Source organism: Homo sapiens, chromosome 4, assembly GCF_000001405.40.
Source record: "Homo sapiens chromosome 4, GRCh38.p14 Primary Assembly".
Lineage (NCBI taxonomy): Eukaryota > Metazoa > Chordata > Mammalia > Primates > Hominidae > Homo > Homo sapiens.
Genome location: NC_000004.12, coordinates 108,025,219 through 108,036,064, shown reverse-complemented (window position 1 = coordinate 108,036,064; position 10,846 = coordinate 108,025,219). Strand labels below are relative to the sequence as shown.

The 10,846-nt window shown below is 44.4% G+C and overlaps 1 protein-coding gene across 4 annotated transcripts in view; it reads right to left on the bottom strand.

The window, feature by feature from the left end:
- The window catches only part of HADH (hydroxyacyl-CoA dehydrogenase), a 45,283-nt gene continuing 35,330 nt past the window's right edge, over window positions 894-10,846 (bottom strand). For 2 of the 4 annotated variants that reach the window (NM_005327.7, NM_001331027.2), the window contains exons 6-8: window positions 8,305-8,377; window positions 2,773-2,889; window positions 894-1,826 (exon numbers count right to left, since the gene is read on the bottom strand). In NM_005327.7, the coding sequence (NP_005318.6) occupies window positions 1,708-1,826; window positions 2,773-2,889; window positions 8,305-8,377 (309 nt within the window). In that variant the 3' untranslated portion in view covers window positions 894-1,707. Of the gene's footprint in view, window positions 1,827-2,772; window positions 2,890-3,687; window positions 3,739-7,995; window positions 8,127-8,304; window positions 8,378-10,846 lie in introns of those variants that run through there. The other 2 variants (NM_001184705.4, XR_007096395.1) reach the window with 2 other exon arrangements.

Genomic DNA, 10,846 nt, shown 5'->3' with positions numbered 1-10,846 from the left:
TGCTGAGTTACATCTTTCCTGGAATTCAGTGGTCAAGAAAGAACCCTGCCATTTCCAGGACAAGGGCCTGCATCCTATGGGGACTCTGGTGAGACAGTAAGGAAGTGAAGCCCCCACTTAGGCCCAGGGCTCATGCCAAAGGTCAAGAGCCAGCCTGAGAGAGCAGGGAGCTGTCAGACCACAAGGGTAACCTTTAGCGATGGAAATGCGGGTGGCCTCACAGGTGCTTCCTTTGGTTCGTTAGGCAGCATTTTATAAGAATAACCTAAAAGTGTCCTACCCAGGTTCTATGTGCGGTACAAATGCACCGATGTATTTATTTTCCCACTATGTTATAGATTCAAAATTTTTAAAATTAATAAGCTCCCTTTTATCAGTCATAAAATGAAGAAAAAAAATCTCTTGACTATTAGACCTATGACCCAGAACACCAAACAAGGATGCCCATTTTAGGGAGAGTCCTGTCTGAAATTTTGGATCGGAGATTTTCAAATGGGCTATTTTGTACTTAATTTTATCAAAACCTAGTTCTAGTCTAGGCTATGTGACAAAATATCTAGTGACTTTGGGCACATCCCTTAAGCTTTCTGCTAATGAGGCTATTGGACCTCAGGATTTCTGATGTCTTTCCAACTCCAAAATTCTATCTTGGAAGACACTTTCTTAAGCCAATGATTAAAAGAAGCTTACGTTACACTACTTCACTTTGTTGGCAAAGAAGAAACAGATGTTCCTTAAAAATTGTTCTCTGTGCCCTTATTACTGCTTTCCTGGTAAGAAATCTGGCAGCGACGGCCCCAGGCAGGTTTTACACAAATGCCTTGTCCTGCCATTCCCTCCCCGTCACTCCCACTTTAAAAATTAACAGCAGGTCAAAGAAGAGGAGAAATAGCTTCTGCCTAAATTACCAACTTTTACTTTTATAATCATTTGAGTGTATTACAATTTTATATTATACATTTTTTTCAATTCAAATTTTCAGACTGAAACATTGTTATTTTAGTAGAGTCAATTTATAGGCAATTTGCAACAGTGATTTCTCATGGAAAAAAGACACAGACAGACAGTAATCATTCAGATCTGTGGAACTGAATGACCATGAAAACCGACCTCCTGCAAACCATGCAAACAGAGATATGCTGACCCATTCAGCAGCAGCATCTTCACGACGAGCTGAATAAAGACACATCTTATGTCATGCCCAAAATGTAGGGCAAGACTCAAAGCTGCAGGTAGTAAAATGTTCTTATAAAGGCAAGATCCAGGTGCTGCTCGCTGCAGTGCTTCACAGACTATACCACTTGCTTGCCAGTGGCTTGTGACTCTCCCACGCAGCAACAGTGAGCATGGTGCACTCGCACTCTCAGAGGAAGTACTTTCCCGTTGATGAGAGAAGGAATCTAGGCAATTCTTCACAAAAATGACAAGGTTCAAAAAACATGTTTGCTCCAAGGCACCAAGGGTGTAAAGCTGTTTAGAAAATACACAGAAATGAACAGACTAAAAAAGGGAATTATTTCTTAATGGAGAATCTATTACTGCTGTAACTGGTGTAATAATCACTTCGATAGATTACAATCAAAATGCACATTTATTAAACTGTACTGTGTGAGGGAATGTCTGACCAAAGAGCATTCCCACAGGCACTCGGGGCACTGGCTGGAAAGCGCTCTCAGGTGTTCTTCTCAGAGCCGGAGAAGCTGCACATCACTTGTATTTGTAAAATCCTTCTCCAGTCTTCTTGCCGAACTTGTTCTCTGCTACCAGCTTATTTAAGGATGGGCTGGGCTGATGTAATGGGTTCTCTGCATCCATTTCATGCCACCCTATTGAGCGGAGGGAAGAGAACTCAGGATGAAGTGCTGGGTTTATTTTTACATCTTGGCATTTCCAAGGACAAGTCTGGAGGCCTGCCTCTGATGTGGGAGAGCCCCCCAGGCATGGCGCCCCTCCGGCCACCACTGCAGAGGCACCAAGGAAGGCTGTGCTGGTGCAGCCACATCAGCCCCAAAGCTGCTGCACTGCCACCCACCTGTGCTGCCTGAAGCCTGGCCCTACTATGGTCCTCCTGCTTATCCAGTGTCTTCTCAGAAATCACTACGGCCAAAGGCCCAAGTACACTGACAGAAGCCATTAATTTGCTGGTTGGATTCATCACTGGCACAGTTAACTTTCAGAATACACGTTAAAAAATCTGCATTCCTGCCATTGGTATTTTGCATCCACATAAGATTCAAAATTTAATTCTTCAACTAGCATTCTGTGAAACTTGGGAACAGATAGCTACATTCAACTTCAGTAGTCCAGTTTTAATTATTATTTTTACCCTGTCTTCAGAGCTTTTACATTACAATGGATATATTTTTTAAAATGGATGTGTATCTTGCTTGCAATGGAGGTTACACAAATCTATTGATGTGATAACACAGTGTACCAGTGTCAATTTCCTGGGATTTAATATTGTACTATGGCTATATAACCACTGGTGGAAACTGGGTGAAGGGCACACACACAAGACCTGTCTGTGCTATATTTGTAACTTCCTGTGAATCCATAAAGGTTTTTTTTTCTTCAAGGTCACCCTGTTAAAGAGACACTAGACAGTCACATTCTTCCTTCTCCTGACATCTGTTCATGAATTCTCAACCTGGTGAGGCAGGATTTTGGAAGGTCTTTATTAAGACCCCTGCTAACTTTTTTTAAAAAGGCATTATAATTTACAGTTCAGAAAAACTACCTCAATTAAAGACAACAAAAAATTCCAATTCCTACCATCCACGATGAACTTCGTAGTATCCAGTCCGACATAATCTAGAAGCTCAAATGGGCCCATGGGGTAACCGGCTCCTAATTTCATAGCAGTGTCAATGTCTTCTTTGGATGCGTCACCTAAGGAGAAAACGGCAGCACTGGGTCACCACCACCTTTCCTTGAATTCTCCCTATCACAGGATTAGCCCCAGAATTACTAGAATTTTATATGCTTGCACAATAAAAAAAATGCCTAGACTGAGACTTTCTGGCTTGGGTAAGATTTCCTCTCTAAAGTACATGCCAAAGAGGTCATAAGACTTTGTTTTTTTTGAGACAGAGTCTTGCTCTGTCACCCAAGCTGAAGTGCAATGGCACAATCTTGGCTCGCTGCAACCTCCGCCTCCTGGGTTCAAGTGATTCTCCTGCCTCAGCCTCCCTAGTGGCTGAGACTACAGGTGTGCGCCCCCACACAAGGCTAATATTTATATTTTTAGTAGAGATAGGGTTTCACCATTTGGCCAGTCTGGGCTCAAACTCCCAACCTCAAGTGATCCTCCCGTCTCAGCTTCCCAAAGTGCTAAGATTACAGGTGTAAGCCACAGTGTGTGGCCCAAGATTTTCAAAGCTACGCACCACTGAGGTGAATTTTGGAGTACTGATACCCTGTTCATGGAGACAGAAGTCTCCATGCCTGAAACTTCAGCTACTTTCAAATACATTGGGATTTTCCAACTCTGGAATCATTTATTAAAGTATAATTTAATGCTACAGCATATTTTTGATTTATAAATAAACTTTCTTAAAAAGAAAACTAAGCTTTCTGCTTTTGTATGTATAGTTATTGTATGTATTCTTTCCCCCAGTTTTTTGGGTTTTACAAGTAAGGAGTATTCCCCTGGCATCACATTTCACACAAACCTTTTAGTCAAGATACCTTTTAAAGAAAAGCCCAAACCCGAGTTAGAATCACCACACGTTTGGAAGTCTGTTGAGTAGACTACGACAAGGATCAATGTGCTTTTCCCTTGGAAATTTACTATGTCCTTTGGCCCCAAGAGGCCTTTATGGAGAACAATCTGTTCCCTTTCTTTGAAATCAGAAAAGTAGAATAGTCTGCAACAGGTGGCTATCTAGAATTTTGTTCCAAAGCATTAAGAAGTCAATCAGATCAAAGCTAAAGAAAAGAGGGAAAAATGTTAAGACACTCAGAGAGAAACTACTTAAACATCGATAAAGAAGATATATTTTTAAAAGCAAATAAATTACTAAAGTAATTCCAAAGGATTTCAAGGCATTTTAAGGTGACTAAAATACACCACAATTATTTATTATGGTTGACATTACTAATAACTACACTAATTAGGATTAGAGACGCCTGAGAAATCATGATTTGAGTGTTAGGCCATAAGAAAGCAAAGAAACAAAAATAATCATATAGGCAGCGTCATTCATTCATTCATTCATTCAACTTCTATTCATTATGTAGCAGGCACCAGAGATGTAGAATGAGACAAAGATAAACCAGACAAGCACTCAAGGTACTCATGACATAATGGGAGAACTCAGATGTGTAAGCCAAAAACTTCAACATAATAAGACCTGAAGATTCATGACTCACACAGCTCTGTGTGAGTAAAGATGGAGAGATTTACTCACACTGCCAGGGCTTCACCAAAACCACCCCCATGCCTGGGTCCTGGAAGGTGAAGATAATCCTGAGATGAGCAGACCAGGAAGGGCATTCTAGGTAGAGAGAACAGCACATGCAGAGGCAGGAATGGGAAGGAACACAGCATATTTGGGGTGTGGCTATGAAGCTTAAAAGTGGGTTCTACTCAGAGGATTTCATTAGGAAGCCCCGCAGCTTCTGTGCTGGTAGAGCCCTGGAATGCTGGAAGTGCCGGCCTCACAGGCTCCTCAGGCTTGGGATATGCTCCCTGTGCCTAGGTGCTGCCCTCAGACAGCTTCGGAGCTCAGTCTCTCACTTCCTCCAGGCCTCTGCTCAGGTGTCATACTTCTGACAGCCTCTTCTCCTCCCTGCATATATAAAAAAAGCAACTCCCTGCACTAAAGAAAAGGCCAGGACACTAGGACAAGACTCTTGCCACCCCTTACTATCTTCTTCTCCACAATTACTCATCACAACCTAACATGCTTATGTACTGGTTCATTTGTTACTGGCAGTCTCCCTGGGACAGAAATCTGACAGCATAATGGTTGCAACTCAGCTAAAGCCATTTAATGAAATCTATATTCAAGGACAGGACAATTAACCCTAGAAGCAACGCTGTAATTCCATATTCAGAGACTCACTTGAGGACTGTTTTATTTCAAGAAATAATATGAAGATACAGCACATGATAGAAAAATATCTAAATAACTCTACAAAGTCAGCCCAACTCTAAAGATCGTGTTCTCAATAATGCAGAGCAAAAGAGGCAAACTTTCAGAAACAGAGAAACAAAATACAGAGATTGGTGTGCCAAGTGACAGTTAGATGTGGAATCATGTTTTAAACTAATAATTCTTAAACTTCTTTAGAATCAAGTACTTCTGACAATCAGACACCCTTTCCATAAAAAATGCACATATAACCCAAATTCTGCGTCAACTTTAGGAGGTTCATTGGACACCCTCTCCTACCTCCCTCCAGTTAAGAGCCCCTAACTCCAGACAAGACAGCAAAGGAAAGCTTCCTCAGTGAACTCCAGATCAGCACAGCTGAGGGGCTGGGACTTGCCCAACATCTGCTTCTTTGTCTGGCTCAGCAGCACCACCTGCCAACCATTCTTAGCATGAACAACAGAGGCACTTAGCAACAACTCAGAAACAGCATTTTTACTCATCAGCAGCTGCCTATGTGCCCGCCCTACACAGCACCTTGGGACATATGAAGATGAGGAGGAGCCAGAGTGCCCCAGAAAAGAGAGTATAGTAAGGGAAAGAAAACACCTGCCATGCCACAGGGAAGACAGTGACAAGTGACCCAAGGGAGAGCCAAAGCAAGAAGAGTTGTGATGACAGAGATGATGTCCAGCTGGGAGCTCTGCAGACACTCAGGTGGGGCAACGTGGGAATGGCAGGAGTAGTTGGCGGTGATAACAGCAGGGGCAGAGGTTGGCCAGAAGGAAGGCTCTCTGGCAGAGCTTGTAGATGGCAGGAAACCAGAGAACCACTGAGCCTGTCTTGAGCAGGGGCGACAATGTGAGCAAGATGTCACATGGTGACTGGGGGGCAGGCTCATGGTGCTCCCAGGCCTGTTGCCAGCAGAGCCCTCCTGAGAAGAGCTGACCATTTGGCCCCACCATCCTGCCCACACTGGCCATTAGGAGTGGGTGCCTGGCAAGGGCAGCAGTCCACTGTCAGACACAGCCTATCCAGCCTCTGTCCCTCTGACTCACAGGAGTGACAGTGACTGGGGCATGCATCAGGCCTCAGTCACAGTGTGAACGAACAAGAGCAATAGGAAGAGTGAGGACGGAGCTGGGATACTGGGAAAGAAGGCCCAACATGGAAGCCAAAATGAGTGGACAAACAGCAGAGCAAAAGGGCGTGAGCCTCCACGAGATCCCATGGGGACTGGCAAGAAGTGTTAGTGGCAGAGGCCCGGTCATCCAGGAGGCCTGACCTACAACAGCACACACATCCTTCCAGAGAGCCTGCACCACTCAAGGCAGCATTGGCCAAACCATGTGCCTGGAACCCCAGGTGTATCAACAGTGGGGTACAGAAAATTTCTCCTTGCATGAGTTCAGAAACAGTCACAGAGCTCCTGCCGAGGCTGTGCAGGGGGTGTGTGGGCAGATGCAGTAGGCGGTGTCTCAACTTCCTGGACAATATGATACTTTCTCAGTAAGTGCAGTAGCGGGGACCAGTCAGGAAAAGACATGAGTAGCGTGAATTACTCTGCTACCTAAGGAACCTCATGAAGGCAGCCTGACTGGGATGGGGAAAAGGTGGGATGAAGAGGTGGAACAGGCATGACAGGAAGGAATCAAAAGTGATGAACAGATGTGGCAGACGAGAAGGAGCCTCCAGATGCTTGAAGCTTCAAGGTGGAACTGTATGAACGGAGATGGCACGGTGGGCATGCTCTGAGCACTCCTCTGTGTTGGCTGAGAGGAGGGAGCAGGTGGTGGGCGGGGGGACATGGTAAGAGGCCTAGGGTGTGACTGTAGTGTGCAGTAGGGAAGCAGCACCCACCCCAGGCAGGACACCCAGCAACTTCAGAAGCAGATTCTGAGAAGGTGGTGGAAAAAGAAGCAGAGGGACCAGCAATGATAGGCTGTTGAAGCCCATGCCCAGAGCAAGCTAAGAGCATGTCCTGAGGCCAGGTCCTGCTCTTCCAGCTTCAGCCCACAGGCGGCCAGGGATGGTGAGGGCTAAAGGGCATGCACCTATGCAGAAAGGGACCACAGACAAGAAGAGGGCTTTCAACTTACCATCTGATACTTGGTGCATTGGAGAATGCATCAAATGGACAGTGAGGAAAACACCATTAAAAGGTGGATCTCTCACATGCTACATTCTAAAACATTACATTTTGTTAAAAAAAAAAAAAAGACATACAACTGCCTTTCAAGGTAGGGTAAAATGCTCTGTGCTTTCTTTGAGGTGTAATTAGGCATATTTGTTGATAGATAAACCAGAACTGTTGGTTTGATCTTGGAGCAAAAGTGAGGCAATTGCTTCCATAAACCATAGAGAAAAGTTTTAATATTTAAAGCAGATTTTGAGGAAGCAAATGTGCTTTCATCTCTCTGGAAGAGCTGGTGTAAATGTTTTGTTTAAAAAATGACACTCTCAGGAGTGAGCATTTATGAATGAAGTAATTGAAAACAATTACACTTGCTTTTTATCCAGTCCTATTAAGGCTTGTTTGCCTTTGAAGCAGACATGAGAGCTACCTTTCCAGAAACCAGGGAGGGAAAGCAGGCAGGAGAATGCAGATCAATTTAGAGGCCTGGACCCTGTCCCAAATCTGATATTTCTACAGCAGAGAAAAGCATTCTTTGTCAATCAAGTACTGAGGAAAACTGTTTACACCATTCTTAAGGTTACAAAAAGTACATCATGACATCACTCAGTAAGGACAGACTACTAAAAACTGTCCTTACCACATATCGGCCTTGTCACATATTTCTAATCACCTGTCAGTCACAAGTTTTAGAACCTTAAGGAACTTTCAAGATCTCCTAGCCTAGTGATTTTTACATTATGATTATTTTTAAAAGCAGTAAACCTTTTAATCAAAAGCAGAGATCCAGGATATCAATCTGGGCCGGCCATGCAATTGCTCTGGCTGGGACTGTAGTGGGGGTGGTGGGAGTTCCAGAAACCTTTCTCAGAGGCCCACAGGGAAGCCAGGAGGCCCTGGGAAAACAGTGAAAAAGGTACCAGGGCTCAGGGTGCAGCTGAGCTCACAAAGCTAGAAAACAGACACTGCTTCCTCCATTGTGCACGGCCCGACCCCTCCTAGAGACACTGAGAATTCCAGACAGTGGCGCCAGGAGCTGAGGTCTGCTGCTCCTGGCCTGGGTCAGAAGGATACCTCGTTCATACAGCCTGATTGCTTCCATGAGGTATGGAACCAGGAGGCGGTTCACAATAAACCCAGGAGTGTCCTGTTTTGGGAGACAGAAAAACAAAAAACTAGTAAATTTTCATTAAATGGTATCTTTTGTGAAGTCACCAAATTGCCCCTTCTTACCCTGGATCATGTTTGCCCCCATTTATCAAGCTGTACATTTTCAAAATTTGCAGCATGGCCTTATTTCTATCTCATATGACAATTTATCCAACAATCATAGTACTTAAAAAAACATTCAAACCCAGATGCCCCACTGCACAGATCCTGACATAAAGACAGATCAAGGCACAGGTGTGACCTGGAAGAGCATGGCTTTGGGAGAGACAGATTTGGGTTCAATCTTGAATACTCTCTTGGTCCTTCTGTCACTCTGAATCTGTTTCATCATCTGTGAACTGGGGGTGACAGTTTGTCTCAAAGTTGTGAAGATAAATCAGAAAACACATAAAATGCTGTACACACAGCCCTACACCCATCCCTTTATTCCTCCTCTTTCCTCCCAATTCCCTTTCAAGAATCGACAAAACGTCACACTCCACCTTGAATGGTCCTCAAAGGAGGACTGCTTTCCAGGCTCCTTGGAGCCACTCCTCGGCTACTCAGCAACTTCTCAGGTTCCAGCGCACACTGCAGTGGAGCTGACTTGAGGGCACGTGCTCCGACAAAGGAGCAGAGCCTCTGACAGAGAGCTGGCCTTTCACGGCACACCCCCTAAGACCTCTGCATCCTGCGGTGACCCCTGTGCCACATATGCCTTTCATCCATTTCCCTTCTCAGTAACTAACAATAATCATCTCTCTGGAGGACAGGTGTGGGATTTGGATTTTATCTACTGATCTCTTCCGGGGACTTGTAGAGAAAAGCAGGTGATTTTTTTGTTGAAGCTGATTTCCACTAGGCAAATGGTGCCTCCTCTTTTGTCAAAAGGCTGTGATCTTCCTGAGGGCAGAAATCCTCACCCTGGCCTGAACTCTGCATTCTGTTTCTAGCACACACCAGGTACTTCCTTAATGTCTGAATTACAGATGACCAGGCACTCCTCACAGAGCTAACCTGACTGCATGCGGGGAAACTGGACAGTAACACAAAGGATGTGAACCTCCTTTAACCCTAGGCAAACTGAAACCAAGCCCTAACCCCATCTATTGCCACATGAGCACAAAGATGCACAAACAAGTTTTATCAGCTTAATTAAGATTATGGAACAATACAGATTTTATAATTGAGGCAAAAATACTCTTTTCAACTTCAAAAGGTTCACTATAGACTCAAGATAGGGTACCTGAGAACATGAAGCTCCAACAGTTAATATCTTCTACAGAAAAAGCTCATAGAGCTCAATAAGGAAAAAGTGCCAAGACTCATTAAATATTTAAACTCACTGGCCAGTCGCAGTGGCTCACACCTGTAATCCCAGCACTTTGGGAGGCCAAGGCGGGAGGATCATGAGGTCAGGAGTTCAAGACCAGCCTGGCCAACACAGTGAAACCCTGTCTCTACTAAAAATACAAAATTAGCCGGGTGTGGTGGCACGCGCCTGTGGTCCCAGCTACTCAGAAGGCTGAGGCAGGAGAATCGCTTGAACCCGGGAGATGGAGGTTGCAGTGAGCTGAGATTGCGCCACTGCAATCCAACCTGGGAGACACTGCAAGACTCCATCTCGAAAAATAAAAAAATAAATAAATAAACTCACTAGTAATCAAAAAAATACGCATTTTTGCCAACAAGATTATCAAAGGTTTTTCCCCCACTGTAATAATATTTGATGCTATTGAGAATGCAGAGAGACAGATGCTATCAGTATATTGGTGGAATGTGAAAAGACACAGTCTTTTTTTTCTCTTGGCAGGGTCTTGCTCTGTTGCCCAGGCTGGAGTGCAGTGGCATGATCTCAGCTCACTGCAGCCTCCACATCCTGGGCTCAAGCGACCCTCCCACCTCAGCCTCCCAAGTAGCTGGGACCACAGGTGCACACCACCATGCCCAGCTATTTTTCTGTAGAGAGGGTTTTTGCCATGTTGCCTAGGCTGGTCTCGAACTCCTGGGCTCAAGTGATCCACCAGCCTTGGCCTCCCGAAGTGCTGGGATTATAGGCGTGAGGCACCGTGCCTAGCAGGAGACACAATCTTTAAATAAAGTAATTTTATTTTATGTAATCAAATTCATATTTTTCAGATTATTTATTAAACACATTTTATTTACTGTACTTACTGTGTGCCAGGTACTGTTCTAAATACTTTAAAAATATTAATTTATTCATTCCTCATAATAACCCTGTGACAGAGGTACTATAATTATCCTTATGTGAAGCATGAGGACACTGAGGCACAGCGAGGTTAAGTAGCTTGCCTAAGGTTACACAGCTAATAAGTGCCGGCACCAGGATTTAAACCCAGTTGGGCTAGTTCATACCCTTAACCTATATACCACAATCCCCTCATGAAGTCTCACTAGGAAGGCACATTCCAGGCACATTAATGCCCCTCTTCTATGTCAAGTATTG